The sequence below is a fragment of the Homo sapiens genome, chromosome 13 (genome assembly GCF_000001405.40).
Source record: "Homo sapiens chromosome 13, GRCh38.p14 Primary Assembly".
Taxonomy (NCBI): domain Eukaryota; kingdom Metazoa; phylum Chordata; class Mammalia; order Primates; family Hominidae; genus Homo; species Homo sapiens.
Window position 1 is genome coordinate 108,780,229 of NC_000013.11, and position 27,850 is coordinate 108,808,078.

Here is a 27,850-nt window from a genome sequence, read left to right on the forward strand (position 1 = left end):
AATGAATTTGTGTAGTTTAAAGAATGAAAGCAAGGCATTTTTTTCAAATGTTGGGAAAGTTAGTAATCATGGAAGATTGAAGACCATGAGCTCTCAGGTATGTTAGTCATAAAATTACTGACGTCTGATTTAAAAAAAAAAAAAACTGCCCAGTGACCGACTCATTCATTAGGCTTTTTGCATCTCTTCAATTAAACAAAGAGAGGGAAAAAGAAAAGGGAAGAAGAAAAAGAAAGAGAGGAAGGAAGGAAGGGAGGGAGAGAAGGAAAGAAGGAGTCTCTCACAAATATCTATCTGGAATGATTGAAGGTAGGTAAGGTAAGTAGGAGTATAGTGATTTTGTAACTATATAAACCCTTGAAAAGGAAGGTCAGAAAATTTAGTTAAAAAGAATTGCCGTACAAATTATAATTCTTTGCCTTAATTTTTAATGATTAGTTTAAGTTCAGTTTTTGACTATTATGAATACGTTTCAATAAATCTTTTCTAGCACTTCACATGCACCAGGCACTATGGTAGGTGTTGGGAACAGAAAGGAGATGAAAACAAGATCTGTGAGCAAGAAAGTTAGCAACTCTCAGAAAGGCCGGCTTCTGTATTGGGAATAATACCAGGTAATAAGGCCGGCTTCTATATTGGGAATAATACCAGGTAACTTAGCAGCACAGAAGAATGAGTGACTCATAAGTTGAAACTTCAGTAAATGACCCCAGCTAAATTATTCAGCCCCACGCTTCAGGTGCAGAATTTCTCTAAAAGAGCCTGATGACTTCTTTAAGCACAGACAATATTCTTTCTAAGTGTACATCTCTTTCAATGCCAAGTTCCTTTTCTATTTGTTTTGTTGTAATTAAGAATACATGACTCCTAATTGTATTCACTATCACCTGTGCCCAGGTGTTTCGCATATATAGTATTTCACTGGGAACATTTATGAATTGGGAAGGATTCTCTACCACTGATAAGTGGAGTGCGGTAGATTTTACAATTAATTATTGAAAACAGTAATGGCATCCCTGCAGTTCTGTCTGTTGTTAATTGATTGTTTAGCAGTCGATATTTGAACAGAAACTGTCAGGTTTAAGTCCAGGTTCCAGCCTATGCTGAGGTCTGAGGGCAGTGGGTAGATGAATGGCAGATAGCTGAAAGAACACTAGGGAGGTGGGGTGGCATAGGTAGGTGAAATATGGCTTTATTCAGCAGCTCTCTCAGCAGCAGCTCTCTTACAGTTTGCTCTGTCTCAGCTGCTTGGTCCAGCCAACTCCCATGCACAGCTGCACGGCCGGTTCTCCATTGCCTTCGGGGTCAGTAGCTTAACTCTTTCTCTCTCTGGGCATTAGCGAGCCAAGCTTGGCCCTGGCTCCCCTCTGTTCATCTCCAAAGACAGAGAGCTCTGGCTCTTTTACTGTCTTTCTCTGGGAGCAAGCATGCCTGATATGGTTTGCCTGTGTCCCCACCCAAATCTCAATTTGAATTGTATCTCACACAGAATTCCCACTTCTTGTGGGAGGGACCCAGGGGGAGGTAATTGAATCCTGGGGGCCGGTCTTTCCTGTGCTGGTCTCATGATAGTGAAGAAGTCTCATGAGATTTGATGGGTTTATCAGGGATTTCCCTTTTTGCTTCATCCTCATTTTCTCTTACCACTGCCATGTAAGAAGAGCCTTTTACCTCCTGCCATGATTCTGACGCCTCCCCAGCCATGTGGAACTGTAAGTCCAATTAAACCTCCTTTTGTTCCCAGTTTCAGGTATGGCTTTATTAGCAGTGTAAAAACGAACTGATACAGTAAATTGGTACCAGTAGAGTGGGGCATTGCTGAAAAGATACCCAAAAATGTGGAAGCAACTTTGGAACTGGGTAACAGGCAGAGGTTGGAGCAATTTGGAGGGCTCAGAAGAAGACAGGAAAATGTGGGAAAGTTTGGAACTTCCTAGAGACTTGTTGAATGGCTTTGACAAAAATGCTGATAGTGATATGAACAATAAGTTCCAGACTGAGGTGGCCTCAGATGGAGTTGAGGAATTTATTGGGAACTGGAGTGAAGGTGACTCTTGTTACGTTTTAGCAAAGAGACTGGTGGCATTTTGCCCCTGCCCTAGAAATTTGTGGAACTTTGAACTTGAGAGAGATGATTTCGGGTATCTGGCAGAAGAAATGTCTAAGCTTCAAAGCATTCAAGAGGTGACTTGGGTGTTGTTAAAAGCATTCCTTTTTAAAAGGGAAACAGCATAAAAGTTCAGAAAATTTGCAGCCTGACGATGTGGTAGAAAAGAAAAACCCATTTTTTGAGGAGAAATTCAAGCTGGCTGCAGAAATTTGCATAAGTGGCAAGGAGCCTAATGTTAATCCCCAAGACAATGGGGAAAATTTCTCCAGGCCATGTCAGAGACCTTCATGGCAGTCCCTCCCATCACAGGCCCAGAGGCCCAGGAGGAAAAAGTGGTTTCATGGGCCAGGCACAGGGTCCCCGTGCTGTTTGCAGCCTGGGGACTTGGTGCCATGTGTCCCAGCTGCTCCAGCCATGGTTGAATGGGGCCAATGTAGAGCTTGGGCCATGGCTTCAGAGGGTGGAAGCCCCAAGCCTTGGCAGCTTCCATGTGGTATTGAGCCTGCAGGTAGACAGAAGTCAAGAATTGAGGTTTAGGAATCTCAGCCTAGATTTCAGAAGGTGTATGGAAACACCTGGATTCCCAAGCAAAAGTTTGCTGCAGGGGCGAGGCCCTCATGGAGAACCTCTACAGCAGTGCAAAAGGGAAATGTGGGGCTGGAGCCCCCACACAGAGTCTCTACTGGGCCACTGCCTAGTGGAGCTGTGAGAAGATGGCCATCATCCTCCAGACCCCAGAATGGTAGGTCCACTGACAGCTTGCACCATGAGCCTGGAAAAGCCACAGACACTCAACACTAGCTCGTGAAAGCAGCCAGGAGGGAGGCTGAACCCTGCAAAGCCACAGGGTGGAGCTGCCCAAGACCATGGAAACCCACATTTTAGATCAGCATGACCTGGATGTGAGACTTGGAGTAAAAGGAGATCATTTTGGAGCTTTAAAATGTGACTGCCCTACTAAATTTCAGACTTGCTTGGGCCCTGTAACCCCTTTGTTTTGACCAATTTCTCCCATTTCGAATGGTTGTATTTACACAATGCCTGTACCAGCATTATATCTAAGAAGTAAGTAGCTTGCTTTTGATTTTACAGGCTCATAGGCAGAAGGGACTTGCCTTGTCTCAGATGAAACTTTGGACTGTGAACTTTTGGGTTAATGCTGAATTGAGTTAAGACTTTGGGGGACTGTTGAGAAGGCATCATTGGTTTTGAAATGTGAGGACATGAGATTTGTAGGGACCAGGGGCAGAATGATGTAGTTTGGCTGTGTCCTCACCCAAATCTCAACTTGAATTGTATCTCCCAGAATTCCCACGTGTTGTGGGACAGACCCAGGGAGAGGTCATTGAATCATGGGGGTCGGTCTTTCCCATGCTATTCTCGTGATAGTGAATAAGTCTCATGAGATCTGATGGGTTTATCAGGAACTTCTGCTTTTGCTTCCTCCTCATTTTACTGACGCCTTGTAAGAAGTGCCTTTCGCCTCCTGCCATGATTCTGAGGCCTCCCCAGGCTTGTGAAACTGTGAGTCCAATTAAACCTCCTTTTGTTCCCAGTTTTGGGTATGTCTCTAACAGCAGTGTGAAAATGAACCAATACAGCGCCTGTACAGTGTCAGCAGGCAACCATATGTTCTACAGACAATAGTGATGTAGGGCCAAGGCATGGCCTTCCCATGTTATGGCTACATGGCTGTGATAACAAGCAGAGTTATATGCCTGTGCTGTGCTCTAAACTCACTGAGTCACTCTGGATGTTTACCTCGGCCTGCCTATCCTTGACCAAAGCACTGCCGTGTTCGTTACAGGAACACAAAATCTTATTCTTGCAGCTTGGAGACTAAAGGAAAAGAATCATTAGCAAAGTCTACTGAAGAATATCCCTGAAGTCAGGGTTTTTTTTTTCAAACTCTGAATAATTAAAATAAAACTAAATGCACTAACAAGATAATTTGAATCTTGAGGACCTTAAAATTATAAAGGTCCTTAGATAAGTAAAACATCTGAAATATATGACTTGCTTTGTTCAGATAAAGTAATATCTTTACATGGTTATAGAAAATATAGCATAGTACACTCAATATAGTGAGATAAGAAACTCAACTTATCTTGGGGGAAAATGTTAAGATACGGAATATTTTACCACGTTAAGCTACTTTTTTGTTTGTTTTGGGTTTTTAAAAATAATATATTTAGAGCCGTTCTTTGGAAATCTGTGCAGACTTGCTAAAGTATAGAAAATCTCTTTGCAAATAAAGAATAATAGAAAAAACTCTAAATATTAACACATAAAATTTTAAATGTGAATCATATTTTATGTAAAGTTATAAATTGGTATATAAGAACTATGCTAGTATTGCAACACAGAATACTATTTTGTAAAAGGAACGGGGAAAACTTTCCTTTGTCTGGCCTGAGTTTAATGACATGTTACTGGGAGGTGTGTGGGAAATCTTGGACAATGGGCATATGTTCACGCCATGCCCTAAAAGAAGTGATGTTAGCCATGCCTGATACATTTTTATGGAGCTCATTAGGGAATGTGGGGCAATGGAGACAGTTCATGTGAGTGATTCCTGAAGAGTGCAAGCAAATCTACCATTGTATTGAAGCTGAGAGGGGCAAGGGGTGAAACAGAGTGCCCAGAGGTGCTGGGCTGATGAAGGGACCTTGGAAGCTAAAACATGGAATGGCCATATTTAATACAGTCAGCCCATTGAGATTTACAGATCATGCCTTTTGTTAGAAGATAGTTGCTGGAAAGAGAAAAATCAGCCTGTAGTCATTAACACAGGCCTTGATTAAAATGTCGTAGTGTGAGAAGAGCTCCCAGATGAGTTTCTGTGGAGAAAAAGGAGGTTAAAGATTTGATAGGACAGATTGGGGAACTTTGGCCAAAGTTCAGCTTGCTCCTTGAAGAGTTCTTTCAGAATCTTTGAAGGCATCAGACACCTCTATTATATTAGAAACAAGACAGGATATAGGGCAGCCAGCACAGAGGCATGGGTTTGCAGCCACACACTAGAGATGCTGGGTTTAGCAAAGGGGTGAGGAGAGGCAGCTGGGGCCAAAGTTTTGCAAGAGTCAGTGGAAGGTTTTCAGAACGTTAGAGTCTCCACAAGTCATTTAATATATTTGTCTTAAAAAATAATTCGAGCTTCCTACCCGATTCTTCAGGGTGATATCTACCGTAGACTATTTCTGCATCTGTTTCCCAACTAAGATTGAAGTACAACTCCTAATCTGCTTTTAATTTAAACAGTATATATGATGTTATATTTTTTTCTTTTTATCTAGGCTGGAGCCAATGTCCTTCTCCAGGATGTGAATGGAAATATCCCATTAGATTATGCTGTAGAAGGGACAGAATCCAGCTCTATCCTGTTGACCTATCTGGATGAAAATGGTAGGCAAAAACTTTTAAAACCATAGAAAAAAATAGATTGGGAGAATTGTAAGTGTGTATTCATTTTCACAGGTTTGCTTACATGATTTCCGATGGATGTAGTTTCCGCACGTGGTGTAGAAGATGGTATTTTTTCCCTTCAGCTTTCCATTGCTCTCACTGCACTGCATTGTGGTTTAGTCAATGCTGGTTTTTTTGCAAGCCAGCAGAAATCTAGAGGCCAACAATGAAGGGACATTTTAACAGGCATCTAAAGTCCATAATTAGTGGGACTGGGTTTGTAATTATAATCTGTTCTCCCCTGGGAGGGGAAGGGAAGTCAACCAACACAATTGAATTTTGAGCTAATGAGAACAAGGTCATCTGAAGTGTATTCTCTTAGAAGCAGGTGGTCCTAGCTGGAATTAGAGGCAAGGAAGTGAGGGCTTAAGTCAAGGACACTTGTCTGCAAATCGACCCTTTGTGACACTTTAGAACACAAAGGTCATCAGAAGAAAGCCCTATGGCCATGATGCTAGCCTGAAAAGATGAGGCTGAGCCCCTAAATGCATTCACCGACAAAGGATGTTTAATTATACAGGTCCAGCATATAATTTCATCAGTAAGTGCAGCCTTGGGAAAGTGGGAGGTATGAGAATCCCTGAGCACAATATAGTATTAAACTAAAGAATTATGCCCCTCCTTTTTTCCCCTGCTGTTTAGGTATAAATAACAATAAAGAAATTCCAATCCCTTCAAAATGACCCTTGGCCAGAGAAAAGTTTACAGTTTTTAAGAGCCACACGGAGCTTATGCAGATACTCTTTTTGCCTCTAAGAAAACCTCACATCTGCCTCATTGTTCCCTTGTGCTCTCTGCCTCCTCCAGATTGCTTTTATGAAAAAGGTTTATTCCGAGGATGGCTTAGAATAATAATAATTAGCACTTAGCAGCAATGAGTTCGCAGATAAAATAGTCTTATTCTCTGTGAAAGCAAGGTAGGTGTGGTTACCACGACAGGGGATGATGTGAGCATTGCCGTGCTGCTCACATCGTCACCAAGTGGGGGTCTCAGGCAGAAGCAAGCTGGGTTGGGTTAGCAGTGCATTCAGTTGACCACTCTGCAGCTCAGTCGTGCCTGGGCACTGTCACCTGTGGGAACGCTCACTCACTTTCTCCAAGTCTTGTTAGCTGTGCCTCGTAGGAGGCAGATTCCATTACTTCTAAAGGGAATGAAGCTTGAAGTTATACAGACTTCTTAGTTGGGAAGTTAATTATTTGGATCCTTGCCAGACTTCGCATGTGGCCTGCAATTGTGAATTGACATGAAAAACTTGGCGCAATGGTGCCTATAGTTAATGATACTGTATTGCATACTTTGAAATTTGCTGAGATCATAGTTTGTATGTTAAGTGTTATCACCAAATAATAGTAAAAATAACAGTAAATAAAGAGTGTGGGAGGAAATTTGAAGGTGATGGATATATTTATGGCATATAATGTGGTGATGGTTTCAGGGATGTATACTTACAAACATCAAGCTGTATACAATAAATATGTACAGCTTTGGTATGTTGGTCATACTGCAATGAATGGTTTAAAAAAATAAAACCAGTGATGTCAAATTTTTAAAAAGTACTTGACCATGTTTTGTTTAGCTGTGCCAGTTCTATGTTATTATTTCCTGCTTTTTCTGTTGTTCTGAATTTTTAAAAGCTACAGTAATAAATGTTTCTTTTAGAAAATAAAACGACATTTATTTGCAAATGCATTCACATTGCTTATAAACCTCTCCAACTCATTACAGCATTTCGTTTGATAGGAAATTTTAGTATTGCAAGATCAGTGTTTTATATCCTATGTAAAGAATAAAAATAAATGTGTTCCTTTGAGAGGCTGATATTAAAAAGGAGTATGCAAAAACAAAACAAAACAAAACAAAACAAGAGGAAAGTACTAACTCTTAAATGGCTGGTAGAAAATCTGTCACTACTATGGCTGTCACAGTCAGCTTGTTAAATACATGTTTGCTGGAACAAACTCAATTTAATATCTCTTAAATTTTTAATTCTGTTTGCCATTTGTCACTGCAGTCGCTCTGGCCCATGCCTTCACATCCATCTGCCCTTCCCTCAGCTCATTCACAATCTGCTTCTGCTTATGTTGGTCTTCCTCCCACTATCTCCATCATCTGCCGCCATTCCCAGTAAATACTGTCTAATTCGATTTATTCTCTGGCCCTCTGCTTGGTGTACTTTTACAGTTATCTATTGTGACAGCATGGGCTGATGTCTTTAGAAATTCCTACTATTTCAAGATGAGATTTTTATTATTATTTGGCTCTGGGTATTTCAGCATCGCCTTTTTATAACCAGGTGGTTGCAATCTTAGAATTTTCATTTTGCGTTGTGCAGTTTCGCATCCGAGTACTTATCACCTGTCACATCAGGATGCACGTGGCAGAAGAGGCTGCAACGTCTTGAACAAGTTGATTACATGGAAACTCGCTGGTCACAAGTCCTAATTGTGCTGTCACCACCGACTTACACTGTAAACTCGGGGACAGCAATTAACCTCGGCTCACTGCCTGAGCCTGCCAGGCTGTGAAATGAGACAACCACGGAGAGCTGATGGAGCATTTGATGAATATTAGATCTCTAGTGCAAGGAGAACCAGCTGGCATGCAAGGAAGGCAGTCGATTAGAAAGTGAGCCAGCATGGAAAGAAAGCACTGACAGGAGAGCCCAAGGAGCACCCAGGACAAAAGATCAGCATAATGGATACATTATACACACACATACAGAAATATTCATGTCCCTGAAAGACACCAAAAGCTTTAGTTGGCTCTGCATACACCACCATTCACTGTCGTTTCTTCTTTCAAACCCATTCTTCTAACAGTCATAGCTCACATTTATTTTATTGAGTTCCTAGTATCCTGTGGTTCAGCCCACTGAAGTTCAGTTTCTAAACCTACAAACCCATTGGAAATGCCCTTGCAACAATTGCTATTACCTTCCTTAGTTTTCTATCCAGTGATAGCTTTCTTTCCTTTTTTATTACCTTATCTCTCTTTGACATTCGATGACCTTTGTGACACTCTCTTAGGAACAGTCTCTCTCCTGCCATCTTCCCACAGTTTTCCTTCCTCTCTTTGAGCTTCTACTTAGGTTTCCTTCGAATGCTTCCCGTGTCTGTCCAAATTGCTAAATGTTGGTCCCTCCTGGGGCTTTGTCTTTGAGAATCTTCCATGTCCCTCCATGCTGTTGCTGGGTTGTCTCACCCTTTTGCTTGTGTTGTTACCACTTGCTGGTTCTCAAGAATATCCTTGTAGCTTAATTATCTTTCCAGACCTTCACTCCTGCATACGCAGTTTTATTAAGTATCTCGACTTGAGTGTCAGATAGTTTGAAACAACATGTCTCTGTGGAATGTGTTATTGTCCTTTCACTGTGTGTATTTCATATTTTCCCATTATCACCAGGAACATCACTTTTCTTCTCCCATATCGTCATGTCTGATTGTTGCCAATTCTTACAGATTCTCCTTATTTGATATCCTTCTAATATGTCCACCCAGATCACAAATCATGCTGTCACTGCCTTAATTAACATGCTGGTCTTTCTATTTTACATTACTACAGTAGCTTCCAAAACTGGTCTTCTTGCCCCCAGTATTAGCCCTCCCCCTTCATTTTTCAGAGGACTCCCAGGTGAATCAGTTCATGAATGTCATGTGTTTTTCTTTTGTTTAAGGCAGTTTATTTGAAATGCTGTCCCTGCACCAGCCTCTTCAAAATCATACATAGTTGGGGTTACAGTCTGCATGACTACATAAGATGGTCGCAAGTCGTGCCTGCTGTTAGGGTTGGGAGAAAGCAATGGGTAGAGGGTAGCTGCACCCTTCCTGTTTATTTCTGTTTGCTGGAACTACTTTATTTGCCTGCTCAGCTCTTTTACTTCTGTGCATCTCTTAGAACACTTATTATGAAGATAAAAATTTGGGTTAGTGGCAGTTCTATGAGCACAGAGGATCCCATGCTAAAATCATGGGATAGGTCATATTATAGTGAATTGCAAATGCCTGTTTAGCTTTGTTTCCTTTTTGAGGGCAAAAATGATGTTTTATGTATGACCAAATGATGATACAATGGCATATGATAATGAATAAAAATAAGGCATATGCGGATCTTATAAAAACACCAAGGAGGAAGGATATGATTTTCCTTACAAGTACCACAGAAGGCATCACAGAAGTGTCACCTACACTAAGCTGAAGGTGAGGGGCTGGGTTACCCTAGGGAAACCAACCGTGGTGGTCTGACCCAGGCATAGGGAGTAGCATAAGCAAAGGCAAGAAGGTTGGAAAAGCCACGGAAGAGAGGTGGCGCAGATCCTCCCACAACTCGGGAGAGCGCGCAGCTGTGCAGCTCAGCATGGTCATAAAACCATCACAATAGCGGCAAAGAGTAGCCCTAATATCATCAGAGAAAAGGAAAAGTTGAATTCTTACAAAAACAATATTACCTTAAGAGGGACGGTTAAGGGAAGTTAAGTTAGGGTTCAGATTGACTTCGGGAGTTGACGTAATTTCAGTTTTGCCCAAGTATCCACTGATATTATCAGATTAAACCAGGCAGTAATAATATCACAAGTAATAATGTGTGGATTTCAGGTAAATTATTTTGTTTCTTAATTCTTATATTAAAATAAATTACTAAATTTCTTTCAAAATAATAAATCTAAATGGACCTTCCATTAATTTGTTTTCAAAAAACAATACGAAAATCTATATTTTGTACATAAATGAGAATGGACCCATTATCCGTTACAACGTAGACTTATGGGCTATATCCATCTTGGTTGGTTTTATCCAGGAGCATTAAAGAAATTTGTTTGACAACGAAGAGAGGGAGTTTCTGTTGTGTTGTATTAACCAAAAGTGATTTGGGCTACTTTCCTGAATATATATTTTAAAAAAATCTAAAATTCACATTTTAATTGGCATCATATCTAATTCAAAATTAAGTTTTCAAATATTAGGATACAATGTAATAATATTCCCCTGTGATGTCTTCACAACAGGGACCAGAAATAGATATATTTTCTTAATAAAATGAGTCTGCAGTGAGTGATGTCTTATCTCTGTTTTAATTTGTTACTTGTTTTTAATCTTGTTGTGTTTTTATCACTCCATTTTAAATACATAATTATATAAAAGATACATACAACTTTAGTAGACGTTGTAACATCCTAAAAGTTAACAAAATAACTTAAGAGTGACTATCAGATTCTTGTGCTACTTTAGCATGCAAAATTGAAGGCTGACATCTGAGAAATGATATTTGCCAAAATAAAATCACACATGAAATTTCATAATCCTAAAAGTCAGAATAAGTGACAGTTTTAGCTGGTTCATAACAGACCTCAAATGACTCTATAAGGGAAATGTTAGTTCTAAAATGGCATGTCCATGATTCAGAAGCTGAGGAATGGTCACGGGTGTTTCTATTTCATGTTTCTACTAAAATGGACTAGTTTGAACAGAATATTTGAAACAAGATACATTATTCAAATACTGCATTTTGCTTTATTTTGTTTGGTTACTCCATGCCTCCTAAATGACCAAATAATAGTATATGACACACCTAAATGAGAGGCATGAAAAACACATGTTAGAAAGCTGACTAATCACAGATCACTTTTATTTAGTGCTTACTGAAAGCTAAATACATATTATATGTTTTATGTGTTTTAACTTACTATCAAGCAACGGACAAATCAAATACTATCAACACCATTTTGCAGTTGAAGAAACAGAGGCAGAGGATAAGTTACTTGCCCACATTGGCACAAGTAGTCATTGATACACACAGCACTAACACCCAAGCAGGTTGAGTCCAGAGCTCCTCTTCTCTATTGCTCATCCAGGCTCGGAGAAGGAGCTGTGGCACGAGGCAGAGTTGAAGTGCCCCATGGGGAGAAAAGATACCAGATATGCAACACGCTTGATGTGGTTTCTGCTATAGAGCTACATCTTAAAAGTATGAACTATTATCTGAGGGACTAAGCACATTGAAGCCCACACAGTTTAAATAACTTTCGCAGAGTCAACCTGAGGAAGGAAACTACAGACAGTCATGTTCAGGAGCATCAATCCAGAGTGTATTCTTGGGTCCGCTGTGCTAGGCTTTCTCTTGATGTTTGCTGCCAGGATGAAATCAGATAAGAGACAAAGTGCTCAGAAGAGTGGCTGGTTCATAGCAAACACTTGCTGTGAGGGAGGTATCACCATCATTATCATTTTTCCCTTGGAAGAAGATGAATTAATTCTCCTTAGTAAATACATATTTTGTTCAGGAACCAATGCTAGGAATAGGGGACACATCAATGAAGAGACACAGCCACAGATGAAACATCATGAAACTTCAGGTTAAAATATATGCTGAGTAGAGGTATAGACCTGAGCCTTCTGTGCACCACCTACCCACCTGGGTGAAGTCAGACTGTGGATTCCGCACTCAATATTAGTTATCTTTATTAACATTAGTAGTCATGAAATGTTCAACTGATGCATCATTTTTAAAAACTTATTTTAAAATCATTTTAGATTACAAGAAAGTCTAAAGACAGCGCAGAGTTCCCAAATGCCCTCCACAGAGCTTCCCCTAATGTTAACACTCGCATAGCCATGGTACACTTATCAAAACTAAAAAGTTAACATTGGGACAATATTAACTGTACTAAACTACAGACTTTATTCATAGTTTTCCAGTTTTTATACTAATGTCTTTTTTTTTTTTTTTTGAGATGGAGTTTTGCTCTTGGTGCCCAGGCTGGAGTGCAGTGGTGCAATCTTGGCTCACTGCAACCTCTGCCTCCTGGGTTCAAGCAATTCTTCTGCCTCAGCCTCTCGAGTAGCTGGGATTATAGACACTTGCCACCACAACCAGCTAATGTTTGTACTTTTATTAGAGATGGGGTTTTGCTATGTTGGCCAGGCTGGTCTTCAGCTCTTGCCCTCAGGTGATCTGCCCACCTTGGCCTCCTAAAATGCTGGGATTACAGGTGTGACCCACAGTGCCCAGCCTAAAGTCTTTTCTTCTATTCCAGGATACTAGATTGCTTTTAGGAGCAACTATTTTGGCCAGAAAAATCAAAGAGATCAAAAACTGTATCTTTGTTATTTGTTTCCATTTAAGTACTTTAAAATACTTTGAGTAATGTATGTTGATGATTTATACTAAAACAGATATTAATTGAAAACCTGCCATTATAAGGCATCATATCATACTTTAGAACATAACATCCCAGCACTTTGGGAAGCCGAGGTGGGAGGATCACGAGGTCAGGATATCGAGACCATCCTGGCTAACACCGTGAAACCCCATCTCTACTAAAAATACAAAAAAAAATTAGCCGGGCGCAGTGGCGGGCGCCTGTAGTCCCAGCTACTCAGAAGGCTGAGGCAGGAGAATGGCGTGAACCCGGGAGGTGGAGCTTGCGGTGAGCAGCGATCGCACCACTGCACTCCAGCCTGGGCAACAGAGCAAGACTCTGTCTCAAAAAAAAAAAAAAAAAAAACATAACAAGAGATAATTTTATATTTTTTAAAGACTATAGTTGGAAATAGAATATGTACAAAGATAATCAATTCTTTGAATGAGTGTTCAAAGTGGAAGAGAAGCTTCAAAGAAAAACACATTGAAAGAATAGGTTATAAAGCTAGGCTTTGACCCCCAGGAACTGAGAAGTATCTCTCCATTCTGGTTGAAAGGCTCTTTCTCCCCACAGGAGTGGATTTGACCTCACTGCGCCAGATGAAGCTTCAGAGACCAATGAGTATGTTAACAGATGTCAAACACTTCTTATCATCTGGAGGAAATGTCAATGAGAAAAACGATGAAGGAGTAACCCTGGTAAGTTCATATATTTGACTCAGAAACTATTTGAATAGAGAATTTAAGTTGATCTATAAAACATAGAATTCATTAAATTAACCTTTAAATAATTGTTGTGATCATAAAGTAATACATGTCAATTGTAGAAGTTTTGGAAAACACCTAAGTAAGCAAAGAAGAAAATGCAGACCCGGCAGTCCCATTATTGGGTGTCTACCCAAGGAATATATATCATTCTACCATAGACACACGCATGCGTATGTTCATCCCAGTGCCGTTTATAATAGCAAAGACATGGAATCAACCTAGATGTCCGTCAAGGTGGACGGGATAAAGAAAACATCATCCATATACACCATGGAATACTACACAGCTGTGAAAAGAACAAAACCATGTCCTTCATAGCCACATGGATGCAGCTGAAGGCCATTACCTAAGAGAATTACCATAAGAACAGAAAACCAAATATCACATTTTCTTACTCATAAGTGGGAGCTAAACACTGAGTCCACATGGACACAAAGAAGGAGACGAGACACCAGGGCCCACTTAAGGGTGGAGGGTGGGAGGAGGGTGAGAATGACAAACCCCTAAGGGGTACTATGCTTGTTACCTGCGTAATGAAATAATCTGTACATCAAGCCACTAAAACACACAATTTACCCATGTAACAACATACACCTGCATCCCACTGAGCCTAAAATAAAATTTGGAAGGAAAAAATGCAAAATGCTTATGCCACTACCCAATATCTCTAGGTTGATATATTTTCTTCAAGCCTTCCTCCTATGTATGTTTTTCCTAAGAATTTAAAATAATTTTTATGCAGTACTTAGTCCATGTAGTTTTTGAAATGTAACTTATAGGAGCATGCTTTCATTTTAGTGTTCAGTAAAACAAACTATGGATGACTTTGGTGAGTGAATTTCTAAATTCAAGCAAACTCCTGTCATTACTTTTTATGGCTCTCAAGCACTGTTGCAGTAAATTATTAAAAGATCAACAAAATTTGGATTAATTTGTATATATTTGATGTCTAATCACCGAAATAAGAACATTTTGCCCTACTGACCCATAAAACTTACCTGGGTTAGTGTGAGTTAAAATTAATAATGACAGAAAGAAATGTAAGACCCAGGGGAAAAAAATTTGAGAGAAAGTAAACTAGAATAGGAGAAGGGAATTTGGAGTTCTGAAGTGTGAATTGAATTGAAATGCTTCAAATCAGTGATTCATTACTCCCATGAAAAAAACATGGTGTGAGGTTGAAGACAGTTGATAAGGAAAGTGATTTAACTAAATAGGTAAAAGTTTTGTTGTCTGAAAAGTTTCCTTGAGTAATAAATGTAAATATATTTTTACATTTATTAAATTTTTGCATTTATTAAGTGCCTGTGACCTCTAGAGGGTCACATTCTAAAAATGTGTTGTTTTCTTATGACTTAGAGTTACGTTGTTATAGTCTCCTAAAGTTTATAAATTTATAAATATTTATTCTGGAAGATAAAATTTAGAAAAGTCTAACTTCAAAATGTTATAGTTGTATAGGCTTCTAAAATTTCCCTTTTCTTACTTTCTTTTTTTTTTTAAATGGAATCTTTCCCTGTCACCCAGGCTGGAGTGCAATGGCATGGTCTTGGCTCACTGCAACCTCCACCTCCCAGGTTCAAGTGATTCTCGTGTCCAAGTGATTTTCCTACCTCAGCCTCCCGAGTAGCTGGGACTACAGGCGCATGTCACCACGCCCAGCTAATTTTTTGTATTTTTATTAGAGACGGGGTTTCACCATGTTAGCCAGGCTGGTCTCGATCTTCTGACCTCGTGATCCGCCCGCCTTGGCCTCCCAAAGTGCTGGGATTACAGGTGTGAGTTACCGCGCCTGGCCAGCTTCTAAAATTTTTAAATCATACTTTCCTAAATTTTGTCTTCCAAAATCGATATTTATAAATTTGTAAACTTTAGAAGACTATAACAACGTAACTCTGTCATAAGAAAAGAAAGCAAAGCATATTTAGAGTGTTTTGAAAAATAACACATTCAAATGGCAAAAGCATTCTAAATTAATGAAGAAATATAATTGGCCACATGCTATGAACAAAATAATAGTGACCAAAATTCTTTTGTCATGGATCCACATTTCAGTTGGGAAAGTGGGTAATATACACTATAAATAAGCTAAATATATAGTATCCTAGTAATAAATGCAAGGGAAAAAACAACACAGGGACATGTTGGTCATATTGTTGCCATTTTGGATAGATAGAGAGGAAAGATCTAACCAACAAGGGTGTTTTGAATAATGACTTCAAAGAAGAGACAGCACAGTGGGGCTGTGAAGGGAAAGCATTCCAGGCTGAGAGTCAGAAGTGCAAACCACAAACTCCTACAGTGTCAGGGGCGAGTGTGGTGTGCTTGGGAAACAGCAAGGAGCCCATATGGCTGAAGCAGTGTCAGCAGGGAGGGAGAGGCGCTGGGACCAGATCACACAAGCTTTTATGGGCCTATATGAGGACCACGGCTATGACTCTGCATGGGATGGGAAGACAGTGGGAAGTTCAGAAGAGAGGAGGGGCATGAGCCTGCTCCGTTTTAAAAGGATCACCTACCCTGGCTGTTGTGTTAAGAACTGACTGAACAGGAAACAACAGGTGCTGGATAAGATGTGGAGAAATAGGAACACTCTTACACTGTTGGTGGGACTGTAAACTAGTTCAACCATTGTGGAAGTCAGTGTGGCAATTCCTCAGGGATCTAGAACTAGAAATACCATTTGACCCAGTCATCCCATTACTGGGTGTATACCCAAAGGATTATAAATCATGCTGCTATAAAGACACATGCACAGGTATGTTTATTGTGGCACTATTCACAATGGCAAAGACTTGGAACCAATCCAAATATCCAACAATGATAGACTGGATTAAGAAAATGTGGCACATGTACACCATGGAATACTATGCATCCATAAAAAATGATGAGTTCATGTCCTTTGTAGGGACATGGATGAAGCTGGAAACCATCATTTTCAGCAAACTATCGCAAGGACAAAAAACTAAACACCACATGTTCTCACTCATAGGTGGGAATTGAATAATGAGAACACATGGACACAGGAAGGGGAACATCACACACTGGGGCCTGTTGTGGGGTGGGGGGAGCGGGGAGGGATAGCATTAGGAGATATACCTAATGTAAAATGACGAGTTAATGGGTGCAGCACACCAACATGGCACATGTATATATACATGTAACAAACCTGCACGTTGTGCACATGTACCCTAAAACTTAAAGTATAATTTAAAAAAATTAAAATTAAAATTAAAATTAAAAAAAAAGAACTGACTGAAAAGGACAGGGGTAAACCGGAGAGTTTGTTTAGGAGGCTTTTCCAGTAATCTAGGCAATCAGTAATGTGGCTCAGACAACAGGGGTAGAATGGTAGTGCAATTGGACCTCCTAATAAATGTGTTGTGTGATTAGAATGACTCCAAGCATTTTTAGCTTAAACTACCAGTGTGATGGAGATGGCATCAAATGAGATGAGGCTGAAGAAGACACAAACCTAAAGCAGGAAAGACCACATCAGTTCTGGAGATATTAAGTTTGAAGTGTCTCTTAGCCATCTTAATGGAACTGTTGGATTTGTGGTTGGACATTGGAGTCTGGAACTCAGATCTCTAGATGAAAGAAAGAATTTGAGGAACATTAGCATATATGTGATGTTGAAAGCTTTGATACTGGATGAAGTCACTACTTGTATGCAGAAGGAAAGAAATTTGGGACCAAGCCATGGAGATGAAGAAGAGGAGGCTCCAGAAATGGGATGAGAAGGAGCAAGCACTGAGGAAGGAGGAAAACCAAGAGGACGAAATGTCCTCGGAACCAAGTGAAAACTTTGAGGAAGCAGGAGGAATGATAGACTACCAAATACTGCTGAGTGGTCAGTTAAATGGGAATTGTGAATTGGTTATTGGACTTAGTAACTTGGAGGTCATTGACTTTCTCTTGGAGGACAGTTTCAGTGGACTAGTAGGGTCAAAAATCTGATTGGATTGAGTTATTTAATTAATTCATTTATTACACATAATGAATTAATGCCTAACACATAATAGAAACGCAATAGAGCCTTTGTTTCTTTGTATGGTAGAATATATTACAACTTCATAGTTCTTTAAAAAAATACTGCTAAGTAAAAACAAAATGCATACTTCAACCACTGCTAAATAAAAGAGCATACACACTTCAGTAGAGAAGCTATTGAAGTAATCAATACAGAGCAATAAATAGCTATCATTTTCAATCATTTTCAGTTTTTACTTTCCTTGTGACCTTCTTTTTATTGAACAGAGAGCATAAATATTGCAAATAATTGTTCTAAAATAACCAAATCTTGTGGTCATTATCTTTGAGCTTTTAACAAGAAAGTAACAATGAACAAAAGGCTAGGATGCTGTCCCTTGAAGATTACAGCATTTAACAGCCAGTGGTTTGGTTTGATTCACATGTCTGAATTGGTTAGTCTGTATATGTTAATGACTGTCATTTCCTTGTGTTTTCTGTTCTGTAAGGTATATAGTGTATTTATCTATTGTGGAGATAAGGAGAAGAAGACAGTTTTGTTCAGATTGATTTCCATACCTGCGATGGAATGCCAGTTGTGGTTCAAAATTAGGCATAAATTTTCACAGTGTTAAATTGTTATGTGCAAAAGAGAGGAAACTAACAACAAAAGGCTCAATGGGAATAAAATTCTAATAAGACGGGTTTGGAGTTGCCTTTACCTTCTTTATTAGAATTGCAACAAAATAACTAAATATAACATATCTCTTTTTAAAAGGGATCTTTTAGTTTACATTATCTTCTTGTTAAATAGGGGCCTCAGAAAATGATACAATTTTAATAAACACCATGTTACAGAGTATATGAAGGTGAATTCATCAGTTTGAGAATATAGTCTTTGAAAATATTAATGCGATAACTGGCATATATATTATGAAGACATTGTTGTTTTATTATTTACTGTGTTAGCACATAATTTGATATATCACATCTGGCCCCGAGGCTTATTTTTTTTTTTTTTTTTTTTTTTTTTTTGAGATGGAGTCTCGCTCTGTCGCCCAGGCCGGACTGCGGACTGCAGTGGCGGAATCTCGGCTCACTGCAAGCTCCGCCTCCCGGGTTCACGCCATTCTCCTGCCTCAGCCTCCCGAGTAGCTGGGACTACAGGCGCCCGCCACCGCGCCCGGCTAATTTTTTGTATTTTTAGTAGAGACGGGGTTTCACCTTGTTAGCCGGGATGGTCTCGATCTCCCGACCTCATGATCCACCCGCCTCGGCCTCCCAAAGTGCTGGGATTACAGGCGTGAGCCACCGCGCCCGGCCCCCGAGGCTTATTTATTTGGTTTGTTAGGAAAGAATTATTCAGGAGAGGCAAGTATCAAGCAATTTTATTTTTTTCACCTTTATTTCAGTAATGCTGGTTCATCCCTTAGTTATGGATGGAGACAGCCATTGATTTTATGGTCATTTTTAAAGAATACAACTTCTGTGATCACTTTATGTCACAAACCAACCTCAAATTAAAGTGTCCAATCCCATATTATAATTAAAACTCTCAAGTCAGGAGTTGTAGAAGTTTTGTGCCATACTTCCCAGTGACCCTTGGGTGGAACCCATGGATCACCTTTCAAAATAATGTTTAAAATGCAATAAAAATGGTGCCTAGAAAATAAATTATGTTGAAATACAGTCATCATAATATTAAAAGTAAATGTGTGATATATAATGCATGTGCTTCTATATCATTCCACTAAGCAACAGATCTAGTAATTACCATGATTTTAAGGTGGCATTGACCATGAATGCTATCTTGAGGTATTTGCTGCAACCGAACAGTGATATGAAAATGTCAGGACTTTTATTGATGATGACATCACGGCTTTGCTTTTTGTGCTCATTGTTGAAGAATTTGCTAAACTTCAATTAAGGAGTCGAAGAAAATAAAGCTATTTTCTCACCCAAGTTTTCACCCCCAGCCCCCGAATTTTATCCACAAATCCTGCAGAGGTCAGTGGGCCCAGGTGTTAAGGGCTGTGAGTTTAGTTAAATGTTAAATCCATTCCCAACTTAGTGCTGTACCAGGTTGGGAAGTCCGTAGAAGGGAAGGTGGACATGGGTTACTATTTTTCCTCTTGGCGCTTTTCTTCATCCATCATTCCCTTACTAAACTCCACTGAAGTTAAGAGGAAGAAGAAGGGAGGAGGGAGCAGATAGGGAAGAGGAGAGGCAATAAGAGCAAGGTTTTTAACTGAGCCCTCTTTAGATGGTATCTAGCTCTCTGACCAAGAATTTGAGTCTTTTTGTGAGAATTTGGGGGTGTTTTGGATCCCACCCGCCCGCCATCATCATGGGGAAGCCTTAGCCTGTACCAGGTCTGGGTGATGCGCTCTTCCAAATGGTCCTTTATGCTCACTCAGCTTTTGGGAGTTTGAGGACACTCCAGATTTTCTCTGCTAAGCTGTGCTTGCTCCATGAGGCACCCCCTAAAATAGAACCAGAAATGACCACAGCTTCATGGGTAAAAGCCCATCTCTTGCCGTTTACTTTGTGCATGCAAGAATCAAAACCAGTTTATTCTGTGTCCACCAAACTACTCAGGATATGTAGCTTCTCAGAGTGGTCTCTACAGCCTCTCTTTGCCATAAAATTGGGAGGAACTCTCATCCACCTTGATACCTACACACAGTGGGAAGGGAAAGTGGACTCCTAACACACTAAGAGTGCTCTTTAAAAATTGTTCAACACTTTTTCTCCTTTTGTCTTTAATTTCTGACCTAGTGTGCCCTCAGTCTCGAGGTAGAGTTCAAAAGTCATCTGAGCAGTTTTAGGGCAACTATTTTCCAATTTACATATATAGTCTCACTTTGGGATATGATTTATAGTATTTTCATACTTCTGTCAAAGCTGAGATAGTAAAAATCCTGTGTTAGTGTTATGATGAAATACATGAAGAAGACCTGAAATTATTGGTCAACAATCCTGACTGAACCTAAGAGGTATTTGAATGGTCCTCAAGATTAGTTTTCATTTCTTCATAACATAGTTTTTATTAAAATATAGCATTAGCCTCAGCATGATCTTCTAGCTTCAGAGTGGCAGGGGTCACAAAGCTTCAGTAAGAACAGATCCAGTGGGAATATATCATAATATTTAACATTTTACATACAGATTAGTAAAAAATCAGATGCACAAATACAAGGGTAAGATAATTAAAAACAATTAACAGATATTTTCCAAGTTATACATGTGGAAAAAAGCCTCTGGCAAAGACCCTTACAATGTAAAAATATGAAAAAAACACAGAAATGTTAATATCGTTGATTATGTCAGAAATTATAATTAACATTTTGCATTAAAGAGTGAGCAAAATTAAGGGGCAACAGGTAATTTGCTGAGACTAATATTTGCAACAGGTTTCCCAAAATTTTAATATCTTCAAAATATGCCGAGTTCATAGAAATTAATTTAAAAAACCACCTCTTACTAGAAAATAAACAATAACAAGAGTCAATTCACAAAAGAAAAATATCCAACTAGCCTATGTATATGAAATGAGGACCACTGTTGGGAATTAAGTAAATGCAAATTATTTGAAATCATTTTAGAAATAAATAATAGTGAAGATCAGAAAAGCTAAGGGTCTGTGCAAATACATTCTTTCATACACTGCTGGACTGTAGGTGAATTGGTACATTCTAGAACTCTGCATGGCAGCATGCCACAGGAACTTGAAAAAATGCTCATTATTTTAGAATCAGGATGTATCAAATGGAAATCACTACGGACATATATGATAATCACCAACAAAACATTTTTAAAATCAATATCAAAAATGGTAACTACATAAATATCCCACAATTAGGAATTAGCCCAGTCAATGAAAATGTGTCTGTATAATTGTATACTATGCTTTCCTAAAAATCTAGGGTTTAGAAGCCCAATAGCACCATGATGAAGAGGCCAGATAGACCCAAGTCGGTGCTCATCCTGGAAGCCTCCATCACTTCCAAGCTGTGACTTGTGCTGGCTCCTTAAACTCTGAGTTATCATCTTCTCATCTTTTAAACTGGAATAATAAGAGTGCCACATTATAAGATAACCAGGCCCAAAGAGACCGTGCATGTAAATCACTCAGCTTATTGTCTAGTTAGTACACAGTGAGCTCTCGATCAAAGTTAGCCTTTAAGTGATCCAAACATTCAACGGCATGGAAAATATTAACTGTATTTGAATAAAATAAATTGCTAGGTACACAGTGATTCTAATTTTATTTAATATTATTTTAAATTGACAAATAATACTTATATGCATTTATGGGGTACAGTGTGAATTTTCGATATATGTATACACTGTGAAATGATTAAATCACACTAAGTTAACCTATCCACCACTTTTCTTACCATTTTTGTGTTGAGACACTGGAAATGTATTCTTTGTTATTTTAACATGTATAATACATTTTTTGTTGACAATAGTCATCCTGCTTTGCAACGGATCTCAAAACATATTTCTGCTGTCTAGTTGAAACTTCGAACCCTTCGACCAACAACTCTTCATTTTCTCTCTTCCCCTCCCCGAGTCCCTGGCAACCATCATTCTTCTCTCTACTTTTATGAGTTTTACTGATTTAGATTTCACTTAGAAGCGAGATCATGCAGTATTTGTCTTTCTGTGCCTGACTTATTTCACTTAACATAATGTCCTTCAGTTTCATCCATGTTGTTGCAAATGACAGGGTTTCTTTCTTTTTTAAGGGTGACTAGTATTCCATTATGTATATATGCTACATTTTCTTCACGTATTTTCCTGTTGATGAACAGTGAACTTGGCTATTATGAATAGTGCTGCAGTGAGCATGGGAGTATGAATATCCCTATGACATAGCAACTTCCATTCCTTAGGATATATACCAGAGTGGGGTTTGTGGATCATAAGGTAGCTGTATTTTTAGTTTTTTGAGGAATATCTATACCATTTTCCATAATGGCTGTGCTAACTTACATTTCTACCAGTAACATACAGATATTCCCCTTTCTCTGTGTCCTTGCCAGCACTTACTTGTCATCTTTTTGAACAGCCATCCAAACAGGCATGTGGTGATATTTCATTGTAGTTTTAATTTGCAGCACCCTAATGATTAGTAATGATGAGCATTTTTTCTTGAGCCCATTAGCCAATTGTATATCTTCTTTTGATAAATGTCTGTTCAAGTCCTTTGGCCATTTTTAAATTGGGTTATTTGTTTTCTTGTTATTCAGCTGTTTGAGGGGCCTACTTTTATCAAGGGAGTGGCATCGTTAAATAGAAATAAATGACCAGAATCTGAGAAGCGAAGCATTTATCTAGAAAGTCCAATTGTCAGTATCTTTAGTGTCTTTTTATATTTTACATATCTTAAACTCTTAAAAATAAATACAAAGTAATTTAAAGTTAGAAAAACCTTTCTGGATTTTACCTGAATACATGCTTGAAAGGGCCCAAGAGTGTTTTGCTGTTGAAACCAGGCGGGGCCATCTTGGTATTCATCTGTGGACATTTGCTCTGTGCTGCCTTAAACCCTGTCCAGAGCAATTGATCCAGCTGAGAACCAACATTGAAAACAATGATAGTGCTACTTATTTTAATTTCTATAAATATTGGGTTGAGGTACTGTTTTTCAAATATTAGAACTATCTTTTATTTGGGAAAATGAAAATCTCAAACTTCAGAAATAATTGGTAGTCCACAGTATGTTTTCTAGCAATTAACACTATCAGTAAATGAAACGAACAGGCTGTCAAAGACTGAGATGCTATAATATGAAATGGGCACAGTGTTGGGGGCTTTGACCGGATGCAATGAAAACTGATCCTTATATGGGATCATAAGAAGAGAAGATGTTCTAATGACCAAATGACCCTGTTGTCTGTTTTTACCCAGGCCTACATCACACTGGATATGTGTGTGTTAGGGTGCAGTTTTACAGGAGATCCCTTCTAGAGTAGACTCAGACTCCCAAATGTGGAGCCTGGGATGCTCCTGTGCTTTCATAGCTGAAAAACACTAAGACTTGGTGATGGTTTTGCAAAGCATACCAGGAGGCAATATGCCACATTTACCAAACAAGACTGCCTGCACTGATGGAGAGCCATGGGAAGGCCAAAGCAAGCATATAGATATTGTGTATCATCCAGAGACTAAAATGTTAATATAAAATTAGTATGTGGAAGGGTGAGGGACATAGAAGTGGTTTACAGAAATAAGAAAAAAATTATATTAACATACAAAAATGATGGTATGAATGCAAGATGTATTAGGAGCCTCAGTATGTTAGTGTTATCCTTGTGGCTTGACCTCACTGTGTGTCCACTCTTCTGTGCTATTTCAAATCTGAGTGCTGGAGGCTGCAGAGCGTGGCTTCGGATCTCAGTAACCATGCTTCTTCCTTGGGCCAGTTACCTAAACTCTAAACCACTGCTTCTCCATCTGCAAAATAAGGGCAACAATCATGTCACAGATGGTAAAGATTAGAAGAAATAATTCACGGCTTTTATACCTAATGTTTTAGAAGCCACTCTGACCACCTGTCCTGCTTTGTAGCTAGATAGGTGATTTCCAAATTGTAATTTTTCGTGGGAACTGTGTTTGCTAATATGCTGCTGCTAGTTCACAGCAGAAATGATAACCACCTCTGTGTTTCTCACAGGGCCCTTAAAGTAGCAGGAGAGGAATGTTCTGAGACACCACAGGGATCAACACTGTTGCAGTTGGGCACCTGATATCCTCTAGTCATAGTCAGGACAAGTAGTAGGAGTATAAATTCCATTTCATAAATAGACATTTTTGTTGTTGTTGTTGTTGTTTTTAATCTTTTAACTCTAGGTCTAACATGTTCTTAGTGATGAGAAACTATATCCCACAGAGGCTAGCTGTTTGCTTATGGATTCAGAGGTTGATTGCCAGTAGACTCAAAATAATGCTCTTAACTCCTGCTATTGTATTATGATAATTGAAAAGTTGGTTATCTCATGTGATTAAGTAGAAGTATTCAATTAGGGTTTTCATTTGTTTGTTTATTTTGGTTTTGGGATTACCTAGAAGTAAACTTGCCAGCCTCCACAAAGGTCACTGGTAGTAACACTTTGGATAGAGTCTCTAGTGAGTGAGCCAGGACTTCTAGTCTTCCTTCCCAGCTGTGCTTGTGGTAAGTGGCCCAGGGTTGGACTAAGTTCTAAATGGTGAGAGCCAATTTTTGCTGTATGGAAAGCAAATCTAATCCTGCAGGGATTGGCCCTGTGAACTTGACATCGTTAGTATCAATTGCTAACCAGAAAATTGATTCATTCTTGATTCCATTTGTAGACTCTGCTTTATGCTAAAAATTAGTATCTTCTGAGATTCAGATTATTGCATATAGCACAGAGTAACTGCCAATCATTTACTGATTATTCAGATAACGTAGAATCAATTTAGAAGCAGATGAATAGATCAATTCTCTAGGAGAGCAAGTATGTAAAATTATATTTTCTAAAATACTTATGGATATATCATTTTGGGGACTGTTTCCTAGAATATTAATAAGATTAATTCTGTATGTAGCAAGCATGGGAAAATGTATGTGAAACAGTGTCTTCATTTAGATGAATATATTTATTCTAATGTAGCTGAGTTACAAGAAATAAACATATATTTACACTCCGTAGATTGAAGAGCCTAATTAGGTCCAAAGCTATAAAAATAAATGTTTTTGTTAGATTTTATCAAAATGTACACATTGAATAAGCCTTTTTGACTTTAATTTTGTCTTTGTAATAAAAACACAATGGAACAGAGCTACAAAATTCCGTGCTATCAAACCTAGAAGATGGCATTGATTTTACTACTTTTAAGGTTTTTTTTTCTTTCTTTTCTGATAGTTTCTTCTTCCTAATTCTTATGTTTATAAAATACATCATGTAGTTGCTTAGTAATGTCATTTGAGTGTGATGATAGTTTATATAGAAATACAGGCTGCTACCTTAGAAACAGGAATTCCCTCACCTGAAAAATGTAAAACATTCTCCAAACCCCGATCTCATCATTATTGTTCCAAAGGCCTTATTTCTAAACTTAAGATTCCATTAAAAAACTAATCTGGGGCTGGACATGGTGGATCATGCCTGTAACCCCAGCACTTTGGGAAGCCAAGCCAGATGGATTGCTTGACCCCAGGAGTTCAAGACTAGTCTAGGTAACACACAACATGGTTAAAACTAGTCTCTACCAAAATAAATAAATAAATAAATAAATAAATAAATAAAATTAGCTGGGTTTAGTGGCACGTACCTGTATTCCCAGCTACTTAGTAGGGAGAGGTGGCAGGATCACTTGAGCCCTGGAGATTAAGGCTGCAGTAAGACATGATTCCACCACTGCACTCCAGCCTAGGTGACAGAGAGAGACCCTGTCTCAAAAATATAATTAAAAAAGAAACTAAAACTGGGAGAATGTTACAATGGTAGCTACACAATCATTTTTAAGCCGCCGGGATTAGTTAATCCTTTTCAGTGTTTCTGTGCCTTTTACACATACAGAAGCATCACAATGACCACATTTCCTGCTTTTAGTTATTCTTTGAATCACTTTCTATAGCACTAATACAATGCCTGGAATATAGAGCTAATCAGCAAATATTTTACCTTTGGGCAAGAAGTGGTAAGCTTTTCAATTATTATATTCTGTATTTTAAAATATTCAGATTGCATTGAAATGGAACTCGGAGGGGGATGGGAGTTACATGAAAAAGTGCACACTATCAAAGTTGGAAGGAAAATTAATAAACATAAGCGTACTTTCAAAGACTGATAATTACACCCATTTATACCAAATAAATAAAATTGCATGTATGTTCTTTTGTTTTTATGGTCTCTGTATTTTAGATCCACCATTTCATTAAGTAGCTCTCTTTAAACCACTGAGTGAACTGCATGAATATCACTACTTTAAAAAAATGAATAATAAGATGTCTCTTCGCTGCAGTTACACATGGCGTGTGCGAGTGGCTACAAGGAGGTGGTGTCTCTTATCCTGGAACATGGTGGAGACCTCAACATAGTAGATGATCAGTACTGGACTCCCCTCCACTTGGCAGCCAAATATGGCCAGGTAGAGTGATTTGCTGAATTCTTTAAAAAATAATTTTATATAATTAATGAATAATTTCATATTCAATTTTGATTTGATTTTAAATTACGTACTAATCATTATTGTAATTTGACTTTTAATAGTGTCTTCTTACTGAACAAATATTTTTATGGTTAAAGGAAAATGCTTATACAAGAGCACATGTTCCTTATGTATCTGAATATTGTAGTCAAGTCATTGAAGAAATAATCAAAATCTGTAAACATTTGTCATAATACGGATTTAAAATGTTTTTCATATTATATAGACTTCATATGCTTGCAGTCTCATGAATCTGTAATAATTATGTGTTTTCTACGGCAAATATTTTATTCATCGCAATAGTAGGAAAAGTAACTTAGTTTTACACTATATGGAGATTTAAGTTAATGTGTTCATTTCAGAACATTACTTTGGGGTAACAATCACATCTAGTAAATTTGTAGTAAGTTAGATCTTTAAGAGACTAATCATTATGTAAAATAATCTATCATAAATTTCAGTAGTGTAACTATCAAAAGAATGGAAAGAGTTTGCATTTCACGTATTTTAGAAAAAAAATCATATTGCGTGGGGAAGTTCTTTCAAACAAACAAGAACATTGTTTGTTTTGACAGCACCTCCTGTAAAAAAAGATCTATTTATTCAATAAATATATTTAAGGATCTGCTAAATATCCCTGAATTGTGCTTCTATGGTGATTCAGTCTCCTTATTTGTTGCTGGTCTGTTCCAGCTTTTTATTTCTCCTTGATTGAGTCTTGATGGATTGTATGTTTTTAGGAATGTGTCAGTTTCTTCGAGGCTATCCCATTGGTTCAATATATTTGCTCATAATATTCCATCATGATGCTTTTAAATTTCTGAGCCGTCCATTGTACTGTCTCCTCCACCAGTTCTTTTTGAGTTGCTTGCTCTTCCCAGGGTTATTGTCATAATTAATGGGGAGGAGCAGAAAGAAAAGTCTAAGTTGGTGAATTTTAAAGCAGCTGTTTCTTCTTCTAAAAATACTAATTTCTTAAAGTCTTGTTAAGCTTGGTAAAGAATGATAAAAGAAAATTAATTTATCATTATTTTCACATGAAACCCACCTGAAAAGCAGGGAAATGAGTATACATTTCTGCAACTGTTCTATTGTAAAGTGTCTATTGCAATCTTTGGCTCTGCATGTTGAGGGTGACTAAATGAAATCAGTTTTTCCTGACTCATAAGGAGAATCTAGATATTTATTTTCCACATCCTGGAAGCAGTAATGAC

The 27,850-nt window shown here is 38.4% G+C and overlaps 1 protein-coding gene across 5 annotated transcripts in view, besides 1 other annotated feature; it reads left to right on the forward strand.

Moving 5' to 3' along the window:
• MYO16 (myosin XVI) overlaps window positions 1-27,850 on the forward strand; it is a 712,290-nt gene that overhangs the window by 284,513 nt on the left and 399,927 nt on the right. For all 5 annotated transcript variants that reach the window (XM_011521062.2, XM_047430183.1, NM_015011.3 and 2 more), the window contains exons 5-7: window positions 5,407-5,515; window positions 13,288-13,412; window positions 26,451-26,576. In XM_011521062.2, the coding sequence (XP_011519364.1) occupies window positions 5,407-5,515; window positions 13,288-13,412; window positions 26,451-26,576 (360 nt within the window). The remainder of the gene's footprint in view (window positions 1-5,406; window positions 5,516-13,287; window positions 13,413-26,450; window positions 26,577-27,850) is intronic.
• Window positions 7,131-7,300: an enhancer, noted in NCBI's record as "experimental_32357 CRE fragment used in MPRA reporter constructs". NCBI's record gives its function as "activates a minimal promoter by MPRAs in K562 erythroleukemia cells, with activity observed for the introgressed 13:109439792 variant allele {active_cell/tissue: K562}" and the evidence as "EXISTENCE:reporter gene assay evidence [ECO:0000049][PMID:34662402]".